The sequence below is a fragment of the Homo sapiens genome, chromosome 11, assembly GCF_000001405.40.
Source record: "Homo sapiens chromosome 11, GRCh38.p14 Primary Assembly".
NCBI lineage: Eukaryota > Metazoa > Chordata > Mammalia > Primates > Hominidae > Homo > Homo sapiens.
In genome coordinates, this window is record NC_000011.10 from 97,509,549 (window position 1) to 97,534,226 (window position 24,678).

The following is a 24,678-nucleotide window of genomic DNA, read 5'->3' on the forward strand; positions in this document are numbered from 1 at the left end:
TACAGCTATCACTTTTTATTCTTCACTACACATTATTATTGCAAACATACACAGGCAAATATTGGCAGCAACTAATGCAATAGTCTAATAATAGGCATGCTCATTTTTTTTTTCCTAAATTACCACAAACTATGTGTTCAGTAAGAAACATCTGTGAAGACTGCTCTTGAGCCCTGGAGGAAAAAACACTATCAGATTTTTTTTTTGACAATTAATACAATGGTGATATGTCAAGGAATTGATCCTTGGATTCATACATCTTAATTAAAAGGTATAATACTTAAATTATAGGAAGTTGGTTCTTTGTAAAGACCTCAAGCTGAGGACTATTAGGAACTCTTCAGCAGCAGACACCTTTTGGTAAGAGACAGCTTCCACCTGATAATCCTAGATCAATTAGACAACTACAGTAAATATAAACAGCTTCCACCTATGGTCCATGGAATGCTAATACAGATAGTCACAGTTTTATCTGTATTCGTTTGCTCTTTCTTCTCCTGTATATCCTTATGATTCTCTTGTCTAAGGCTACCATTAACTAAGTTACTTTTAAGGCCCATATTTTTAATATTGCTTTCTGCTTCCTTAGTGTCTCCTTGGTTTGAATACAATAGCTGGCTCATATTTATTCACAAGTAGGTTAAAGCATACAACCAAACAAATTGGTGGTAATTTACATGTGTTCTTATGGGAGTCACATAGCTTTCCTTTGTTATAGTGTTTGTGAAATGTATCATTTGGTTTGCTAGGTAATAGAATTAAATTGATAGGTGATATTTTGGATGGCAAACATCATGATTAGTCATAAGAGTCAAAAATCTAAAACCATTTCTCATGTCATACCTAGAAAAGGAGGCTCCTTTCTCTACTAAATTAACACTGAGGAGGAACTTTTTGAGGGGACTAGCTATTGTAATAGAACTTTCCCAGAAATAGAAATTGGAAGGGAACTAGGGAACAGATTGTATATATTTGGAGGCTGCTGTAATTTCACGAGTCTTAAAAGATGCACAACTTCTCTTTTGATTTAAATATACCAAATGATCACAACAGGGCAAATGTTATCGCCTGACCACTGGACTATTACAAAACTATGTGACATTATTCTATGGATAATTTGGCCCAAAACAGATTGTTGGTGACCCCAAATGGCTGGTATGCATTTGTAGCACAAAAGCCTCTTGGTTACCACCTAAAAACTAGACAGTTCCATTTTATCCTTGCAAACTGATGTCTGACTTCAGGATAGTACCTGATCTGCCATCATTCACACTCTGTTTTGTTCCATTAGCTATTCCTCTATGAAAAGGAGGTTGTTAGATAACTTTACAACAACAAAAACCAGAAGGAAAAACTTACTTTGAAAACTAAAACATTAACCACTCAAGACAAATTCTGGATTATACTTTCTACTACTAAGACTTTTTACTTCATGCTTTATAAGAGTATCAAAAAGTAGAAAAATGATCTTTTATTCAGAAGAGTATGTCAAAATAGCAGGAAAGGCAGACAATCTCACCAGGGCATTATACTCTTCACTCAATGGAGTTCATGAAATCAGGCATGCAGTATTTGAAAACAGAGCCATTTTAGATAGAATATTGGCCTCATAAAGGGAAGTATTCAGCGTTTTGAAGGAATACTGTTGTGCAAAATATTTCTGTAGACTTCTGTGGAATTGTCAATATTACTAGCAGATTACAAAACAAATGAAAAAGTAAAACTAGATAATTTGTCTAATGATCCTATGTCCGGTTTTGTTAGCTCTTCATATTAAGGATGGGACTTATTCTATTTACTTAATATGAGCACTCTTGGATCCTGGCTGAAAATTGTGATAATAATCCTTCTATAAGTTTTTATTTGCATTGCAGTATTTTTATATGTGTTAACCTCAAATGCTGCTGTGCCAACTTTGTGAAATCAAATGATTTAACAAATGATCACCCAACAAAAGAACGGGGAACTGCAACAGTGTAGAGGTTGAAGCAATCATCCCTGAAAAAGTGACACATGACCATGACATCTTACATAACAGTGAAGATCTGATTTGATCATGTCTTCAAATATTAATGTTCAGTTGGCAAAACCTAGAAAACTGATGGCCTCCAACTCCATCAATGTTTCTGCCAAGGACATGATCTTGTTCTGATGGATACATTGTATTCCATGATATATATGTGCCCGATTTTCTTTATCCAGTCTAACACTGATGGGCATTTAGGTTGATTCTGAGTCTTTGCTATTGTTAATAATGCTTCAATGAACATACACATTCACTGTCTTTATAATAGAACAAGTTATATTCTTTTGGGTATATATCTGGTAATGGTATTTCTTGATTGAATGTGTTGACGAGAAGAGTTACACTTGGTAAAATAGTTGAAGAGATTTATTCTGAGCCAAATATGAGTGACCATGGCCCGTGACACAGCTCTCAGGAGGTCCTTAGAACATGTGCCCTAGGTGGTCGGGGTACAGCTTGGTTTTATGTATTTTAGGGAGACATGAGACATCAATCAAATCATTTAAGAAATCCATTGGTTTGGTTCAGAAAGGTGGGACAATTCAAAGCAGGGGCTTCCAGGCTATAGGTAAATTTAAATATTTTCTAGTTGACAATTGGTTGAGTTTATCTGAACACCTGGGATTAATGGAAAGGAATGTTCAGGTTAAGATAAAGGATTGTGGGGACCAAGTTTCATTGTGCAAAGGAATCTCTCAGACTACAGAGAGAGAACAGTTTGTAAAAAGTTTCTTATTGGAAATAAAAGTGTGCCTGGCTCTTAGTTATCTCTTGGATCTGGAAAGGAAGGAAGGAAAACAAAAGGGGAAGGTGATTCTCTATAGAATGTGGATTTTTCCCAAAGAGACTTTGCAGGGCAATTTCGAGGCATGGCAAGAAAATATATCTTGGAGTTAAATATTTTCTTCCTTGTCTCATAATGTTATACCAGAGTCAGATTGAAAAGCAAGTCACAATATACAGGGTCAAATAAAACCCATCTGATGAGAATCCATGGTTTGTAGGGCATGACTCCCCAGACCCTTTAGGCAAAATCAAAAATCAGAGCTTAGTCCTCAGTCCCCACCACCCCCTTGGCCATAAAGCATTCCACAGAATGGATATGCAGCCCAACAAAACAGCAGCAGCTCCCCAGGTGCTAGGAGGCTTATTCCTAGAGTACCTTCGTTAGTGGTAATAGTTTTAAATATTTGTGATTTGTGTCATGGGGAGGGGACGCGATCTGACCTGATGTAATAGCCAATAGTTCAAGGGGTGAGATGGAGTCAGGCCTAGGGTTTAGTCTTAAAAAAAAAAAAAAAAAAAAAAAAAAAAATCCCAGATCTTATCTATTTTGTGAGCTATCATGCTCCAGGTCTTTAATTATACCTTCTTTCTTTTGCTGTATCTGTCATAACATTTATTAGAGATACATAATGCTAATATAGTGACAAATACCATACATCTAGCAAAGATCAGGCATCCAAGAAGGCTATAGGTAGAGTCAGAGGGCAGTAAACAACCTAACCAGCCAAAAAACCCACTGCATGCATCATCACACTCTTTGATTAGACTCACGACGTGTTTACCCTATTTATTAAGGGTCATTTGAACCTTATGATAAATCTTATTTGAGGATTATAGGACCAACACTAAATCGGGATCCAATAAATTCAGTTTCTCTTCTGGCCAATTTATCTCCACAAGTGTAACATCCTGAGGAGGATGCAAATTAAATGCAAAGAATGCCTGGTCCTCAATGTCTAAATTGTTATAGGACTTGTTAACGGAGAACAAATCTCTTTTTCCCACCACTTTTGTATTGCATCATATACTGGCATTTGGGAAACAAAAGGAGGTTTTGCCACAGGAGAAGTTATATAATTCTACAGTGTCATTTTGTTGTTCCTCCCAACAGAAATGGCCCTTTGTCATACACCAGATGCTATGTCGCATGGGGGTGGATAGTAGAGGCCAAGTTTGGAAAAAAACAGGGTTCCAAGTGATTTGAGGGCATAGCCATTTTCCTTTCCTGTTTTTACAATCTGAAAGGGAGATGGGATGCCATGTGCTATCAGCTAAAATAGCCCACGTATTTCCCAGGGGGAGTATTCTTGTGTTGTTTACAATAGTCCCAATGCCTGCCAGTGAAACAACAGAGTACCTTTCAGCCTCATTTAACTTTGGTGCCTGTGCTCTTAAACAATGTTTAAGGTCACATTTTCCATCCAAAAATCTCCCTAAGTTTGGGGGACCATATACTTTTCCACATGTGTTTGGATTGTACCTCAGTACTGAGGATTGTAGGCCATTGCTTCATAGCCACCTCAGATTCCATTTGTAATAAAATAGACATAAGCCCCTGTTGGATAAGAGTACATGCTTATCCCCATCTTTGGGTTTGGAAGTATGTTTTTATGGTTTGTCTGGTTTCTTTTAGCCATTTGATGAGTGCTGCATTATCTTTTAAAGCAGCTTCCCATCCTTTTCCGTATTCCTGAAAGAGCATTCCTACTCTGTGGCCTATTTTTGATAGCGAATTTTTTTCTAAAGAATGTCTCTCTTTATTAGTCATGAACTCAGCTTGCCCCAGTATCCCTAGCCCAGCTCCATTTCCTCCAGCAAGGTCATGCTTTAGTTTTTTGGAAGGCCAATTTTTGTATATTCACCAGGAATGCTGTTTCCATTGTATACTGATGGCATTTGTACAATTTGTATAAATGGAGTAATCCAGAACTGCTGGGTATCCCAAACAATTGTTAAGTGAGTGGAGGTTACACCTAAGTATACCTTTGTCTAGGTATTCCATAAGATTTCCCAGTTGCGCCCTGCTCTTAGGGTGGAATGTGTGCTGTCAGTGACCTCTGTCCACCAATTGACTCCCATCAATAGTTCTCTAAGGGCAGTGTCAGTGTGGTTCATGCTGGATAGAGGCATCCAGCTGCAAGCACAGGGCTGGTAGTTATTTGGACAGGCCATGCTATGGCCGTTTACACAGGAGGCTGCTAGAATTTTCCCATTGTAACCAGGCAATTGTCTCAACTGATTATGCCTAATATTTACTGTTATGCAATGTTCTACCTGGTTAGACCCCCTCAGTGATCATCCTGAGGCACTGTTAGGCAAGTATTCCTGCAGGGCATCATATCTGGTTGCAGCCCTACAAGAGAGCTACCCTAAAAAAAGGGGGACCTCAGGGAATGTTTAGAATGGTGTTGTTCCACATAACACTCTTCATTGCATCCTGATCTATATCATACCAAATGATGTGGGCTCTGCCTGCAGGAAAATTGCTGAGGTTTGCAGGGGACCAGGAGAAGTTTTCAGGTTTGAAAAGAGAAGGAGTGTGGAGTAGGTAGACAGAGGAGATTGTGGGAGTGAGAATGAACAAGTAAAACATTTTCCTGGCTTTAACAAGGGACCGTATAGCCGCATCCATTTAGAACGTTATACCAAGGAACAGTGCATAGATTCCAAACAGCTTCTTAAGGGTTTCAGTGAAAACATTCAGCAATATTCTATAGCAAGGAAAGTAAGAATGAGAGTTATTTTAGATTTCATGAGGACTGGCCTGACCCAGTGTCTCTGGAAGTATGTTGACTTTCATTGTAGCCCTAGAGACGGGCTGAGCCTCCAGTCTTCTCTTGATTCACAGGTGGGGGTCAGAGACCAGTTCACAAGTCCAGGCATGGTTAGGAATGTGGTTGGTCACTCATTTTAGGTGTGAAATGTGAATCCAAGAAACGAAGAAGTGACTCCCTTTAACTTTGCAGCACAAGAGTTGGTTAAAAGCACCTGATAAGGTCCTTTCCAGTGGGATTGCAGAGAATACTTCAGTTGGTGTCTTTTTCAATACACAAATTTGCCTGGCTGTAATCCGTGGTCTTTTGGGCTATTAGCCCCCAGAAGCTAAGTGTGAAAGATTCTGTTACCAAGTCTGTATTATTTGTTAAGGTTTTGAGGAGCCCTTGACGATAGTGCAATATTTCCCCTTTGAGTTAGGTCGGTTCTTATAAACCCTCATCCAGCCTCATAGGTCTCCCTGTTATGATTTCATAGGGTGATAAACAATGTTTTCCAAAAGGAGTGGATCGAAGATTAAGCAAGACCAGTGGGGAAGGCTTTTGACCAAGGGAGATTAAAAGCCTCCATCAACTTAGCTGAGTTTTCATTGTGCCATTTGTTCATCCACCAACCTAGAGGATTGCGGATGGTAGGCACAATGGAAACATTGTATTATGGGCCACATTTTGCAAATGAATTGAACAACTTATCCAGTAAAATGAGTGCCATGATTACTATGCAGTTCAGAAGGAATTCCCCAAACTGGAATGATTCTAACAAAATTTTCCCTACTGTTAAAGCAGTAGCCCTCCGACAAGGAAATGCTTCTGCCCAGTGAGAAATCATACAAACTAAGACCAGCACATATTTGAAATTTTGGGGTGGCAGCATCTGGATAAATTTCAGCTGCCATACTTCAAAGGGACTGGCAAAGGAAAATGATCTTGGGAGCCATATAAGGGCTTGCCAGTGTTCTGTTTTGGGGCATATAGTATATAGAGAGTATACCCTTTTGGGCTACCATGGAAGACGGTTTCCAAAAGTATTGTTTTCTCCATGATACCATTTTTTCAGGGGCCCAGTGAGTCATTTCATGAAAAAACTGAAGGAAAGGCAATTGTGCACCTATGGGAACTATGGGTTTTTTGCTAAGCCCTAGCCAAAATTCCTCACTTGGGTCTAACATGCCTCCATTCTGCTGCCAGGTTTGTTTCTCTTGAGGAGTTGATGCTGTAAAAGAAAGTTAGTGCAGGTATTTGTAGGACGAAAGGTACACACCCACACATGATGGGCCATCTTTCCTAGGACAGCATTCTTTGCTGCAGCATTAGCCAGATTATTTCCTTTTGCTTCTTCAGTGTTAGCCTTTGAGTACCCAGAAATTTTTATGACTGCAAGTTGCCTTGGCATCTGAATTGCTTCTAGTAAATTCGAGACTTGGTGCCCATTTTGTATGGACTGTCCAGATAAAGTAAGAAATCCTCTTTGTTTCCACAGCATGCTAAAATCATGGGCTACTCTGAAAGCATACTGGCTATTGATATATACATTTACCACTTTTCCTATAGCTAAATTACAAGCTCTTGTTAGTGCTATTAATTCAGCCATCGGGGCTAATTTGACTCCTTAGGGTTGGCTACTTTTGATTATGTCTGTTATGGCATATCCTGCCTGGTAATGCCCTTGGTTGTCCCTTAAATAAGAACCATCTGTGAATTAAATTAATTTAGTGTTCTCAATGGGAGTTTCCTGTAAATCTCCCCCTAGAGGAGAGTAAGATATTAGTTAGATGTTGGGGGCAGAAAGAGGAGTATCTCCTAAGAGGTGAAGCAAGTAACAGAATAGTGTTGAGTGTGGTGAGAGCTTAAAAGAGATTTCACAGAGTGGGGGGCATAGCTGGTTAGGGGGGAACCTAGGACAAATCATTCGACGTTTTTGCATAAGGTGGCTGCAGCTAATATAGCCCTCACACAAGGAGGATGCCCGTTTGCAAATGGATCTAACTGTTGACTGAGATAAGAAATTGGTCTGTGAGTGTCACCATGTTTTTGAGTTAATACTCCTAGACCACTCCCCTTTATTTCAAGTACAAAAAGGGAAAAGGGAAAAATATAATTGGGGTGGCCTAGAGCAGGTGCTTGGGTGAGAGCCTGTTTCAGATTATCTATGTGCTTTTTTCCCCCCTCTTCCCAGTGGATTGGGTTTGGCTGGGTTTGTCTTCATTTTTTTGTATAGGGATTGGGCCATTAAGGAGTAGTTTGGACTCCAACTTCTGCAGAGACTCTCTCAGGGTTTATTAATAGCCCCCTTGGGGAATTCAGATGTCCCAAATATTTAACTTGGGGGAGGCAAAATTGTAATTTATCTTTTGAAACTTTGTGTCCCTTAAAAGGAAGCTGTTTTCATAGTTGGACAGTGCCTTCTCTGTATTTTAGTAGGGAGGATGAACACAAGAATAAATTATCCACATACTGAATTAGAGTAGAGTAGAGTAGAATTTGGAAATTCAATGTCGTCTTAATCTGCCTTTAGTATTTGATAAAAATAAGTAGAACTTTTAGCGTAGCCTTGGGGTAAGACTGTCCATGTGTATTGGTGATTTTCCCAAGTGAAAGCAAAAAGATACTGGCTATTTTGCTTTATAGGTGGGCTGAAAAATGCACTACAAAAATTAATAACTGATAAGTGGCTGGCAGTGACAGGAATATTAGACAGTAAGACGTAGGGGTTAGGAACACCAGGGTGTCTAGGAATTATTATTTTATGTATCGCTTTTAGGTCTTGAACAAATCTACAGCCTTTCCTACTTGGCTTTTTAATTGGGAGGATTGGTGTATTGCAAGGGCTGGTGCAGGGTATTATGAGCCCTTTGCTCAAAAGTCCTGAATGATTGGTTTGATTCCTAGTAAGGCTTTGGCTCTAGGGGGATATTGCCTTACATTTGGCAGAGGTTTGGATTTATATATTGTTATGTCTATACAGACTGCTGACTTAATTCTCCCAATATCTGTGGAAGAGCTTGCCTGTAAGGAATCTGGTACCTTAGATAAGAAAGGGTCTAATTCTTTCTGTCCAGAATCTTGATTAACTTTCACAAGCACAATATTACATGTGGGCTTTTGTAAGTCTTCTGTGTCTCCCAAGTTGAGAATTATTTCTCCCTTCTATGAAAATGAGATGCGAGCATTATGGGTCTCTAGGAAATCCCATCCCAGCAGGCATATTGAGGCATTATTTACTTTAAGAGAAATATAATGCCCCACTAGTTCTTCTAATTGAAATTAAAGGGGATTTGATTTAAAGGCTATAATAGGAGAGTCTGAAATCCCTACCATTTGGACTTTTTCTTTACTCCAAGGGAAAGGGTTTTTGATCAAGGTAGGGTTAAGGACTGACAGTGTAGCTTTAGTATTTTCCTAATTTATGGATATTTCTACTTCTCCTAAAGCATTAATTAGAATTTGGGGGAAAACCCTCTCTATTCTCTCAGAGGATCCCTATTCTTATTTTTGAGTTGTTCTGGTGCTTTCCTCTGGGGCCCTTTGCCCCTTTTGTGCAAGCATCCATTTAAGTTTTTTGCATTCATTTTTAAAATCTCCCATCTTTACTCAAACAAATTTACAAGAAAGAAACAAACAACCCCATCAACAAGTGGGCAAAGGATATGAACAGACACTTCTCAAAAGAAGACATTTATGCAGCCAAAAGACACATGAAAAACGGCTCATCATCACTGGCCATCAGAGAAATGCAAATCAAAACCACAATGAGATACCATCTCACACCAGTTAGAATGGCCATCATTAAAAAGTCAGGAAACAACAGGTGCTGGAGAGGATGTGGAGAAATAGGAACACTTTTACACTGTTGGTGGGACTGTAAACTGGTTCAACCATTGTGGAAGACAGTGTGGCGATTCCTCAGGGATCTAGAACTAGAAATACCATTTGAGCCAGCAATCCCATTACTGGGTATATACCCAAAGGATTATAAATCATGCTGCTATAAAGACACATGCACACGTATGTTTATTGTGGCACTATTCACAATAGCAAAGACCTGGAACCAAGCCAAATGTCCAACAATGATAGACTGGATTAAGAAAATGTGGCACATATACACCATGGAATACTATGCAGCCATAAAAAATGATGAGTTCATGTCCTTTGTAGGGACATGGATGAAGCTGGAAACCATCATTCTCAGCAAACTATTGCAATGGACGAAAAACCCAACACCACATGTTCTCACTCGTAGGTGGGAATTGAACAATGAGAACACATGGACACAGGAAGGGGGACATCACACACCGGGGACTGTTGTGGGGTGGGGGGAGGGGGGAGGGATAGCATTAGGAGATATACCTAACGTAAATGACGAGTTAATGGGTGCAGCACACCAACATGGCACATGTATACATATGTAACAACCTGCCCGTTGTGCACATGTACCCTAGAACTTAAAGTATAATAATAATAATAATAATAATAATAATAATAATAATCTCCTTTCTTTTTGCAAAAGCGGCAAATTGCTTCCTCTTCGGGTCACTTAGATCTCTGGGGACCATGGGACCCTTGCAAACTCCCAACTTGCTTACTAAGTTGTGTTAGTTGTAAACTCACAATCTTAGAGACTGTTTCCTTTTCTTTCTCGATGATTGTTTGTGACAGTTAGTTAGCCAGGGTGACTAGGTGGCTAGTGGGCAAGGAAGCCCAAGCCACATTATTCATCTTCATTGGGGTTGCTAACTATTTAAACCTTGAATGAGCCTTCTACCATGCTCAAAATTTTCAGGAGGTATTCCTGAAAACTGAATGTCTTTTCACACCTGACACAAAAGTCAGGCACGGTTTCATTTGGGTGTATTTTACATTGTTGCACCCTTGCCCAATTTATAACCTTGGGGAATATCTGTGGCGTATAGTTTCACAGAGGTGATTTACAAAGCTCTCTGCATTTATCTTTTCCAGTTGCATCTATTTTGTCAAAATCTTTTAAAGGCTGTTTCCAACCTGCTACTTTAAACCATTGTTCAGCTTTGTTTTTGGGGACGAGTAGCTCAATCAGCTGATACAGGTTAGACAAACTTGGATCACAAGTCTTAAGGGTTAATTGGAATGCCTTAGCAAACCCAAAAGGATTTTCAGTCAGACTGGGAAATTCAGACACCAAGGCCTTTAACTCTGATTTGGTCCAGGGAGTATGTATTATGTTAGGATCCCCTCTGCCTGTGGGTTTTATTCTAAAATAAACAACTACTATATTATTTTCTCTAGCTATTTTTGGTCACCCTGTGGCTTGAGGCAAGGGAGTAGGGGAAGGAGGAGGAAAAATGAAATTGTCCAGACAAGGAAGTTCAGAGAGTAGAGGGTTAGCAGGAACAGAAGGGAGACAGTTTCTGGAGCCTTCCTGATTTCAGAAGTGGCTTTTACTAATTTAATTCTGAGACAGTTTTACAATTTTTTTTGTTAACTTCCTGGAGGGAGGCAAGCTTATTATTCTTTTTGATAATTCTAAGTGCCAGCTAAAGTATAATTCCCATTCATTTTCTTTGATTTGGGAGCCTAAATGTTCTAATCTAGCGTGCAAGAAACCCAACTTAGGGATATCAAAAGTTCCCCATTTTGGAAACTTTACACCTAGGTTATCTTTAGTAAGATCTTCCCATTTACACAAATACTTGCAAGTAAAGGCACCATAGTTATTAAACAGAAACCCAGCTGACGTGCCTTTATGGGGCCACTCACCTTGCCTTTCCTCTTTTTTGGAGGGTTTATTTCCCACTCTTTTTTTTTTTTTTTTTTTTTTTTAAAGAGGAACTGACCCGTGGCCTAAGGTTTTTGTGTGGTGGATTGATATGTGCTGCTTGTGGGCAGGACTCTACAGTGTGTCAACACTGAGTTGTTTCTACCCTCTTACGTGTCTAACTTTCTTCAGAGGTGTATTACCTCTGAGAGGGCTTAAAACGCCAGGTGATCAGCCCTTATATGCATTTCCTGGACAAGCCTTTTTAAATTAATATTTGTTGGGGAGTTTCCTATAGCGCCACTGCACATTGCAGGGGGTCAACCCACCAGACTCTCCCACAAGGCCCCCGGTCACTCAAGGGCACTGTTCAGCTGGGAGGAGCAAATTGCCCTTTCTCTTTGGAGCTGAGGAATTCAGCCTCTCATTTACTTATGAAAAATACCAGTTTAGTTCCTCACACAAAGTACACACAGACAAGCCAATTGAGATTAATTTCGAGAGAGAAGACAACGGATTAAGACCCTTTTGAATGTACCTCTGAAACTAAAGATTTTAAACAACTTCCTAGGAGGAAAGAGGAAAAAAAACAGCTAAGAATAAATCAAGGACCATCAACCAAAACAAGAGGTCTGGGGCTCAGGAGGGCTTACCAGTTCCATCAATGCAGAAGCTCAAACTCGGTGAGGCTTCAATAGGCCCCTGCTTGTACCTTAGCTCCGGTTTTGGGCAACTCTTTTGTGGTTCTGAGTATTTTCCGAGGCCCCATGTTTGGCGCTGGATTATTGTCGACAAAAAGAGTCAAACTCTGTAAAATATTTGAAGAGATTTATTCTGAGCCAAATATGAGTGACCATGGCCTATGACACAGCCCTCTGGAGGTCCTGAGAGCATGGGCCCAAGGTAGTCAGGGTGCAGATTGGTTTTACATATTTTAGGGACGCATGAGACATCAATCTAATACATTTAAGAAATACATTGGTTTGGTTCAAAAAGGCAGGACAACTCAAACTGGGGGCTTCCAGGCTATAGATAAATTTAAATATTTTCTGGTTGACAATTGAACTTATCAGAAGACCTGGGATCAATGAAATGCAATGTTCAGGTTAAGATAAAGGATTATGGGGACCAAGTTTCATTGTGCAGAGGAATCTCTCAGCAGGCTGCAGAGAGAGAGAGAGAGAGCAGGTTGTAAAATGTTTCTTATTGGAACTAAAAGGGTGCCTGGTTCTTAGGTGATTATCTCTTGGATCTGCAAAGAAAGGAAAGAAAACAAAAGGGGAAGGTGATTCTCCATAGAATGTAGATTTTTCCCACAACAGACTTTGCAGGGCAATTTCAAGGCATGGCAAGGAAGTATATTTGGGGGTCAAATATTTTCTTGTCTCATAAAGTTATGCCAGAGTCAGATTGAAAAGCAAGTCACAATATACAGGGTCAAATAAAACCCATCTGATGAGAATCCATGGTTTGCTGGGCATGACTCCCCAGATCCCTTAGGTAGAAATTTGGGCAAGATAAAAAATCAGAGCTTAGTCCTCAGATGGTATTTGTTTTCAGCTATTTGAGGTATCACCACATTGTCTTCCACACTGATTGAACTAATTTACACTTCCACCCACAGTGTATAAGCGTTCCTCTTTCTCCACAACCTTGCCAGCATCTGTTACTTTTGGCCTTTTTCATAATAGCCATTTTGACTGGTGTGAGAAGGTATCTCACTGCGGTTTTAATTTGCATTTTTCTAATAATCAGTGATGTTGAACTTTTTATCATATGATGATTGGCCACATGTATGTCTTCTTTTGAAAAGTGTTCATTCATGCCTTTTGCCCACTTTTTAATGAGGTTTTTCTCTTGTAAATTTGTTTGAATTCTTCATAGATGCTGGATATCAGACCTTTGTCAGATGCATAGTTCACAAAAATTTTCTCCCATTCTGTAGGTTGTCTGTTCACTCTGTTGATAGTTTCCTTTGCTGTGCAGAAGCTCTTTAATTAGATCTCATTTCTGAATTTTTGCTTTTGTTGTGATTGCTTTTAGTGACTTTGTCAGGAAATCTTTGCTTGTTCCTATGTCCAGAATGATATTTCCTACGTTGCCCTTCCAGGGTTTTTATAGTTCGGGGTTGTATGATTTCAATACTATCTCCTTGCTGTTCTTGCTGCTCTTCCAATCATATTATTACCCTTAACCAATTCTAATAAAACCCCTAGATTGAAAGACCTACTTTAAACAAGAATCCACAGCTGATAAGTATTCTAACTTTGCCTTCCATACTCCCAGACATTGCTAAGATTTTTATCAAGTAAATGCTCTCCCTCACTCTACGAAAAAAAAAAAAAAAAAATCCTTGCTTTGCCTTACCAACAGGTTCTATTTTTAGGGAACTAGCACCTAACAGTCTCTTATTGCATTTGTTTTCTGACCTAAGAGACCATTTTTAAGGTGGTTGTAGGATTGGTAGTGGACACCAGATTATCTGTAATTGTTAGCACAGTCCAGCCTTGAGACATCTTTACTAACCTTTATCAAAGTCTGAAATAGTCTTCTACTTAATTTCCACATGATCACTTCCTCAGGTCTCTTTATATATTTCCTTGTAAGAAAAGGCTTTCACCCCTCTATTCATGCTACCGCTTTTCCCCAATTATTGCTCATAGCCTTTATCACTATCTAAAATATTTAATTCCTGATTCCCACTATCTTAGCTTTCTATCATTACAACAGACACAGATTGGATAATTTATAAAGAACAGAAGCTTATTTGGCTCATGGTAGTAGAGGTTGGGAAGCCCAAGAGCATGGGGACTACAGCTGTCAAGGGTTATCCCCTTGCTGAGAACAAGCACTCAGGACAGAGAAAATGGGGGCCAAACGTATGCTTTTATCAGGAATCCACTCCTGGGATAACTAACCCACTCCTGTGATAATGGCATTAATCCATTAATGAGAGCAGAACCCTCATGATCTAGTATCCTCGTAAAGACTCACCTCTTAATAACATCACAATGATAAATTTCAATATGAGTTTTGGAGAGGACATTCAAACCATAGCACTCAGCAATAGAATTCAGGATCTTATAGAATATAAACTTTATTACTATAATTCTAGCATGCAGTATAGGGACTCATGTTAAGTAAAAGATTAATAAATATATAATAAGCGAATGCAAAATGAATTCTGTGGTAGGTGTGAAATAAAGAAATGTGTACAATGCGAAGAGTTATTACTAAGTAGGTGAAAGAGGGAGATAGGAAATAATGTAACAGATCAAAAAAATTTCTAAGGTTGATACATTTTTAAGAATGGGAAATACATGCTCATGGAAAACAACCCATGAGGAAAACAAGAAGCAATTAATAGAGTAACACAATTAAGTGCTGAAGTACATGGAATTTAGAATAGGGATGAAGTATTTTGGTTCCAATAGGAGAAATAACTCTTCCATTTTCATCGATGGTCTAAGGAAATGATTGGAAAGCAAATGAATGATAAAAATAGTTCACCATATAACATTTTTTGAAAAATAAATAGGAGCTTTAGATATGTGGAGAAGATTCTATTTTGTCTATTAAGTTGGAAGTGAGGTTACTTGCTACAGTTAAATGCACCTGGTGGTAAGATAAAAGGATTAAAAAAACAGATATTTTAAAATAGTAAATTTTATGAGCAGAAGAGAACTCATTAGGTATATTTTGGAAGATACTAGGAAACATCGAGAAACCATTTGAGTTTTGAGACCATAAATTTTCAGTGTTGTATTAGTTCTCCTGTGTTACTCACCAGGAAAGATATAGGAATGAAGGAGAGCAGTACAGTGAAAAATAATAATTGCAGTTATGCTTATTTTTAAGAAGTAATTGTTCTGCATAGCAATTTGATAATAAGCCTGTCTTACTAGAATAATGCTAACTAAATTATTTAAATCTTATGTGCTACCTAGATGAATTCTAAGACTTTTAGCCATAGAACATTCTCACCATCAGGATCCTATAAAATTTTTGTTGGGTCTAAATTTCAATGCTTTTTTTAACTTTTGCAATTAGAATATTAGTAAATTTAACATTATTTATTAAAAGAAAACTGAGAAAACTTGAAACTTCAAGGTATTTAAGAAATTCTGCTTCATCTTCAAAATAGATCAAGAACAAAATTTTTCAGTTAAGATCATTAACAAAATCAGATAATTTTCTAAAGTCATATTTAAATCATTCTTATTCTATTCATGTCCATCCAAAGACTAAAATTTACAATTATGAAGAAACAAATATGCCCCTTCAGCAGGAGTTCAGCATAAGATTAAATTTAAATGTACTAACACATACCTTTATTTCTTAAAGAGAATTTTCTTCAAAAATAAAATTTAAGAAATACCTGAGTCATTATGAAAGTTAAATGTGTGTGGAAGGTCTACATAAATGAGCTTATTATCAGATTGCTTTGGTTTCTAATATATTCTTCTTAGCTAGCTTAATTCATCATACTTGAAGAGGAATTTTAAAATTAGCTACCATTAATTGTGATTCATTCTACTTCCATGCTCTTTTATAAGACTTGCAGTTTAACTTTTTACTCCATTAGTATATAAATTCTTAGAAGAAGAACAAGGTCCTCTTTGTATTTATATCCTCAGTGCCTAACATATGACTAGCACATTCAGGCATTCACTAAATGTTTCGACTTAGGAGTTGGGTTAAGGAAAGAAAATTACAAGGATTGAACTGTGGTAGAAAAAGTTTCTAATAAAGATGCACATCATAAACGAGGCATGGCACCCATCAGTTTTTACTTACTGGAATGAGAAAGCGTTGAAACATTTATAAGAGCAATCATAAAATAAATTGTAAACTATATTAGTTATCAACAAACCATTCAGAGTTGTTTACAGAGAAAGTGCTATTGTTATTGTAGCAAAATTGAGCAATTATCATTCCCAAGGAGAAAAATGTGACATCTCATTGTCACAAGCAGTTGGAACACAAAAAATTGTGTTCTAATAAAGATGATAACTTAAATATGTACATGAATTCTGACACATGGAAATTTTAATTATAAAAGTGACAGAAAAGACATTTTTAAATTTGTTGTATTGACATATATATACACACACACAGTTTAACACATAAATTAGAAATTGTTATGTATCAATTGGCTTTTGTTGTAAAAATGATTGATTAGTTATTTTTGGTTTCATAGCAATAATAAATCATTTTTAAATTGTAAGCTTGGTAACCTCAGAAATTAATGGAGGCCCTTATATTTGTAAATGTGACAACAGCAGGCTAACTGTTCTACTGAACACAGAAAATATTTTGCCATTGCAGAAATATTATTAAGAAACATGTATTGGGTATGGTCATTTGAAGTGCCACATAGAATTATGAATGTTGTTTTTTTAATATCTCAGACTTATTTTTCTAAAATAGATCTTACATAGAGCTATGCAGATGTAAAAAACTTATGTTTTGAGCTTCAAATGGATTTGAGTTTATATTATTAAGCAGACTAACTTTTCTTTCAAAATAACTCCCAATAAGTCTTAAGGAAATTGTCTGTTTTTCAAGTAAAAGCTTTCTAAGTTTTAGTTATTTTGTAATCTCTTTCATAAGCTTTACTCTCCCCTATCCTATTATCAGATTTGGAACCTCAGATAGGATATAAGTTCATGTAACTGAGGAGATTCAATGAGATGGAACATGTATTGACATTAAAACTAGTTTGACTTAATGTGCAGCAATAATATCTCCAAATTTTGCAGCAAACCACTGGAAAGAAAAGTAACTTCTTTTTTTCAATAATCTGTATTAAGTCTCATCACTTTTCAAGATTGTTTTGCTAAATTTGAAAGGCTTATATACAGGTGAAAAGTATGGTTAAGACTAAATGAATGAAATATATAGAGAGAAAATGGAATTCTGCATAAAAATTAGAATAATGTAAGTATTGCAATATTGAAAATGGAAAGCTTTCATATATTTGTATGTTTCTAAAAGGCATTATAGAGACATGTTCTTCACAGGCAGACTATGTGCCTTACACGTGGTAGAATATGTGATAGAAATATCTGATAGTTATATACTTTTTCTATTTTTCAAATGATTTCATACTCCACAGTATAAGTAGCTTTTGATTACCTTGAAAAATATAACACTTTCCAATCTCTAATATCTCTGATTTTAAAAATGAATTAGGTTGTTAAAATCTAGCTCTGACTGAAAAACATAAACCTAAATCAGTTATGGAGTCTCCCAGTTTTTAAAATATAGACTATGTTTTAAAGCAGTTTAGGTTCGTAGCAAAATTGAGTATAAAGTTCAGGGAGCTCCCATATACCTCTTCACCCCACTATGCACAGCCTTCTCCACCATCACCATCCTGCCCCAGAGTGGTACATTTATTACATTTGATGAAACTACATTGACACATCATCACCCCAAGTCCAGAGTTTACATTAGGGTTCACTTTTGGTGTCGTGCATCAAAACCGGTGTTCAAAACACTGGTTTTGAAACGTGTAATGACATGTATCCAACATTACAGTATAATACAGTAATTCACTGCCTCAAAATGGTAATTCACTGCCTCAAAAATCCCCTACACTTCACCTGTTCATCTCTCCTGTTTCCTCCAACTCCCGGAAACCATTGATCATTTTACTATTTCCAATGTTTTGCCTTTCCAGAATGCCATGTATTTGGAATCATACAGCACATAGCCTTTTCATATTTGCTCATATACTTAGTAATATACATTTAAGTTTCCTCATGTTTCTGACCTGATAGCTCATTTTAAAAATTGGTGAATAATATTCCATTGCATGGATATAACATTATTTATCCATTCACCTACTGAAGGAGACCGTGATTGTGTGTAAGTTTTGGCAATTATTGATAAAGCTGCTATAAACATCCGTGAGTAGGTTTTTGTGTGAATGTAAGTTTTCAGCTCTTTGGCATAAATACCAAGGATGACAATTGCTGGATTGTACAGTAAGAGTATGTTTACTTGTGTAAGAAGCTGCTAAACTGCCTTCCCAAGTGGCTATAACATTTTGCATTCCCACCATCAGTGAGTGGGAGTTCCTGTTGCTCCAGGGTCTTCCACTTTTAAATTGAGAAACCTATCAAAATTTACTGAATATATATTAATTATATATATTTGCATTTTATGATTGTTTCAGCACTCTAATATATACATATTGAAATTTTCAAAGAAGAGACACTACTACAACATACTAGATTAATAAATAATTAAGAAATTGATGTAATGCACCAACATAGCTGAATTAGGTGGGAGGGGAGGGCGGAAATGAGAAAATATTTCACAAAGGAAGCCATACAACTTTATCTTATTATACCAGCTATATGCTATCATGTTCTGGGCTCTTTAGTAGATTGAGAACGGTGTTTCCCAGAGATAAATTACCATCCTCTGATACTTTTCTGTACATTTACACTAAAGAAAACTTCACAGCAAATATGAACACAGTAACATCAACACAGTAATATCACAATTTACATCTCATATGCCAATTATCATTTGCCTTGAAAGCGAAATAGAACCAAATCTCAGTTACTCTTTTTCTCCCTCCCCAACAGAGACTGTTTGCCTTTGGATTCAGTACTCTCTCTCTGTCACTTGGTCACACAGTTATGAAATGCATGTCATTCCAGACATTTTCTTAATTGCCTTAGTAGGCAATTAACTACTTATTCATAGTATATCTACTTTAATCCTCACACCACCACTGTGGAATGGTATAATTATTAAAATTATATAAATGATGAAATTGAAGTGAGCCAAAAAATAAAAATACACATACACATTATGCTGTTTGGAAAAAATAATTAAAAGTATTTTGGTGGTCATAGGAAGAATACGCAGGTATAGAGGTAATACAGCATATATTAAAAGAAATTAAAGATGAATGTGAATTCAGAATAAGAATTCTGAAATTCAGAAACCTACCTTATGTGATTGTTGTGAGAATAAATTGGAATACTTGAGCATGAAATGATTAATATAGTTAATTGAACCAAAGTATTTATTTTGGTTATTACTATTGTTATTATTTCATGTATTCACTTAGCAAACATTGAGTGGCTTTTGTGTTTCAGATATTGTATGCTTTCTGGACTTCAGGTGTGAGTATCACTGTCACCGGTGCTTTAAGCAACGCTTAAAGTTTGAGAAGCATTGCTCTAGGAGAGAGGCAAATAGGCAAGGCTTAAGGGTAGGGTCAAGATTGGAGAAGGTTTATGTAGTTGAGACAATTGATGTGACAGATATCAGAGGTAAAGGCGTATTCACAATACATACATATTAGCATATATAGGTACAAGTATATACATATATATGTGTGTATATATGTATATGTGTGTGTATATATGTATATGTGTGTGTACATATGTATATGTGTGTGTATATATGTGTGTGGGTGTATATATGTGTGTGTGTATATATATAAGCAATTATCTATGTATTATATTGTGGTTTAGGATTTAATATTCATGACCATCAGCATCTATGTCTAACAATGCTAAGAAAATGATTGTGACATTTATACAAATCCTTTATTATTTGTAATTAAGATTAATTAAGGTAAAAATGCAATATATCTTATTGAATGAGGACTAATAAATGATATGATCTTCATTTTAATCAATGTTCCTGCCCCTGTCGAGTGCACCAGACAATATATTGCTGCTTTGGATTGTCTCCATCATATTCAAAAAAATTATAAGCCTCTAAGGCAATTTTAACTTTCCAATTGAAAATTAGATTATATTACATGGGATTCTACACAAATTATATTAGGATCTAAAAAGGAAATATAGACTCTGATAAACTCACAAATGAGTAATTTGAATTTTGAACAGTTGAGAAATATTGTTGCATTCACTTATACCAAATATGAAGGGTTAAATATTTGAGGAAGAAATCAGTTCATTTAAATCCTGCTATTACCACTGTACTTCCTGTTGTTTGATGCTCTATTTCTTGACATGTAATAAAAACTTTTACACAGCTGTACTAAATATGAGAAAGAACCAGGGATCATTCTCCTTGAAACAGATGTAAAAATTTGAAATTAAGATATGTTGTAGTAGATGTAGAAATTGACTTCTGTTTTTAAAATTTTGTGTTGAAAGTAAAGATGTTTTCATGCAAGGAGGAAAGAAAAAGCATTCACTTTTTATTTAAGAGTTAACATAGATACTCTAGGTCAAGATGATGTATATAACAAATACTAAATATTTTATCCTCCAACTAGAGGATATCTTTCAGATAAAATGTGAAAATAATAATTAAGCACATACCTATGCTTAAACAAATTTGTATAGACAAGAAATAGAAAATATAGAAAGCAATGGCTAAAGCTCTACAGAAAAATTGCTTGTGGGGAGCTGAGAACAGGAAGGGAGCCCATCACTTACTAGAGGATGGAGTCAAATTCAGTCTCCATACAGTGTGAGACTGGGGCTGCATGTGCAATTTAAATCGAGGTCTAGGAAGACAGTGCATGAATTGATGTTAGAATACTTCACCTGTTTGCCTAAGGTTGTAGCTAATGAAGAAAACTGGCCTGAGATTGAGGCATAGCATACTCATGTGCTGTACTACCTGTGATTAAAGACCCCAGGATAACATCATGTCTGTTGGTTGACAAATCAGAACTGATTCACTAACGTCAGCTGATTTAATATCGTATATACTAACATCTTTGAAATCATCTACAAGGGATAATATTTATGTATTTAAATCAGAAACTCATCAACAAGAACTACAAAGCTATGATAAGACTAATAAATACACTCAAAAGACCAAAAATTAAAATAAGGAATAGGACAAATATAACAATTTGAAAATGTTTAATTAATTGTATTTAAATTTTAAGAGTTAAATTAGGAATTAGCAACAGTGATCCAAAAATAAAAGTTTATGAAACAAAATCTGTTGGTTATAAAAACTGAAAACTAAAAAACTACCAATAGCACAACAGATACATATACTGCAATATATTCATATTTTCACTGTGTAATAATATTCAATGATGAGCTATTATGCAATGTCTGAAATAAACAAAAGGGAGTTTCTGAGGTCCTAATATTGTACTTCTTGATCTCAGTACATATTGTATACATTTTTATTTTGGGCAAATTCATCAATATTTCCAATTGTAATATGTGCATATTTGTGGATTCATATAATACTTTTAATCTTTTAAACATGTAGTTGATAATCAGAAAAACAGTAACATACCAAAAATAAAAAATGTAGTCACTGAAATTGTAAAGGCAATAGATAGGTTAGTTGGCAGACGTGAAACATATATATATATAGGGAATTAGCAGATTATTAGTCAATAACTATAAAGGCTTTACTATGTGCCAAGCAGTGTTCTGAGCACATAATACATTGATTATTTAATCATCACAACAAATCCCCAATATCCCCTTTCTGCAAATAAGGAGATTGAAGGACATACAAGTTAAGCAATGTTCCCCAAAATACTTGATAATTTTCAATTAAGAGATGATACCTATATTCTGACCAAGGTATTCTGGTTCCAGAGTCCAAGTCTTAACTGCATGTCTGTATTTATTGCTCTGCATTTCAAAGACTATAACTGAGAAATTCACCAACAACACAGTGATGAGGCATTATTCATCTTTTCATTTAACAAATATAAATTGAGTACCTGCAGTGAGTCAGCCACTGTTCTAGGCATTTGGGATGCATTAGTTGTTGGGGTGGGGGAGGGAGAAAACTGACAAATATCTCCATTTATATGGATCTTATATCGTTTGCTAGAAAGTATAAAAGATATAAAAAGGGATTGAATCATTATGTTAGGTAAGAAATCATAACTTAGCTGTTGTACCAATAGTCCAATAATGTTTTCAGAAAAAGAATTCAAAGAATGGTGCAGAGGCAAAATTCTAAACCATATGGGTGAAGAATTTCCTACAACTAAAGAAAATTGTAAATCCCTAATTTGACAATAACAATCAATGAAAGTTTTACGTCTTAATTATCATTCATACTTTTTTCCCTAAAGTCCCTGCAAATTTTAAAAAATGTATTTACTTTTAATTGACAAAATGAATTTTGTATGTTTTTGGTGTACAATGTGATATTCTGATAAATGTATGTATTGCAGAAAAATTTAATAAAGCTAATTAACATATCTATCACCTCACCAGTTTATCTTTTTCATGGTGAGAATGTTAAAAATCTATTATTTTTGCAATTTTTAACATTTCATAGATTTACCTCTACATAAGTTTCAGTTTTGGGGCAAATTGTGAATAAAACTGTTTTCCAAATTATATCTAATTATTTATGATAAATGAGAATTATTTCATATTATATTCTCATGTCAAATCAAAACCAACTCTTAGATCTAATCTACTAAAACATAGTCTATAGATCTGGTGTTTTCCGTATAGACTATCAAGACTCTTAAAGAACAATTGTATTTCAGATGATTTGCCTATTGCATTCATGTATAATAGATACTTATACTTTTTGCCTACCAAGAATATTTTAACACTCCAATTTTGTTTGGATAATTTTTCACATTTTATTTTTCATATGAAATATACAGATTAATAATTCATTTTCCTAGCATAGCTCTTAGCCAGAGCTAAAAAACACAAATTTTCCTTTTAAAATCTCGTAGATTTTCATAGGTATTTAAATATACTGCAGCATAATTTACGTGTAGTAACATACATCAATTTTAAGTGTAGAGGTCAATGATTTTAGACAAAAGTTTAAAGCCATATGCCCACCATCCCAATCAAATTAATTTCCAACAACAAAAAAGTTTTTCTTTGTCATAAATCTACCCAACTTCCACTTCAGGAACACAGTTATCTGATCAATATTCAATATAGGTTAACTTTTTTCTCAGTACTTGAACTTCATGAAAATGGAATAACATTCTATATATTCATTTATGTCTGTCTTGGTTTCTTTTACTGACAATACAGTCACATGACATTTAATGATGGAGATATGTTCTGAAAAGTGCATGGTTAGGTGAGTTTTTCATTGTATGAACATTATAGAGTATAGTTGCACAAACTTAGATGGTATAGCTCATTGTACACACAGGCTGTATGAAAAGCCTATTGCTCCTAGGCTACATACCATGTATGTAAAATAGTATGTTACTGTAAAATGGTAGAGTAAAATTACAGTATAAAAGATAAAAAATGGTACACCTGTATAAGGCAGCATCATTATCTATCTTTTGAGACCTCCATTGTATATGTGTCCATCACTGACCAAAATATTACGTGGTGTATGTCTATATTTCAGATATTTATCTATGTTCTTGCTTGTATTAATACATTCTTTTTCATTGCTGAACAATGTTCACTGTATGGATATATCACAATTTGTTTATCCATGCATTTTTTTTGCTGGACATTTAGGTTGTTTCAAGTATTTGGCTATTATTAGTAGAGCTCTGTGAACATTTTTGTACAAGTCTTTTGTTGAACATTAAAAAAAATTTACCTTGGGTGTAGAATTTACCTAGGAGTAGAATCACTGGGTCATGTGTTATGTGTATACTTAACTTTATAAGAAACTGCCAAGGTGTTTTCTAGAGTAATTATAATACTTGACACTCACACTAGCCATTTGTGACTTTCAGTAACTTTACGTCTTAGTCAACACTTAATATTATGTGTCTTATAACTTTTAGCCATTCTAGCTACCATATAGTAAATGTATGGTTTTACTTTGTATTTTCCTGATGACTAAAAATAGTGAGACTTTTCCAGTACTTACTGTTTATTTGTATATCTTCATGTGTATAATGTTTATTCAAGTTTTTTACCATTATTTTTATTGCTTTTGTTTTTAACATTAAGTCTGAAAATTACTTTCCATGTTCTGAGAACAAGTCTTTTGCGATATATATGAAATGCAAATATTCCCTCATAGTCTGCAGCTTGCCTTTTCATTTTCCCAACGTTGCATTTCAATGAATTGTAATTTTAACAGCTGCTGAAGTACATTTTACCAAAGTTTTCTTTTAAAGGTAGGGTTTTGTGTTTCCTGTCTAAGAAATCTTTGCATAGTTGAGAACTTTTCCTCTGTTTTCTTGGAAAAGAAGCTTAATAAGTTTACCTTTGAAATTTAGGCCTATGACTGTGATACATTTTAAGTTAACTTGTATGCATTGTGTGAGGTAGGGTTCTAGATTTTTGTTTTTTTCCAAATGGATACTCAGATATTTCAGTGTAACTGAATGAAAAGACTATTCATTTACACCTAACTTCCACCCTTTAATTACTTTGACCCTAATGTTAAAAAGCCTTGAACCACATATGTGTGGT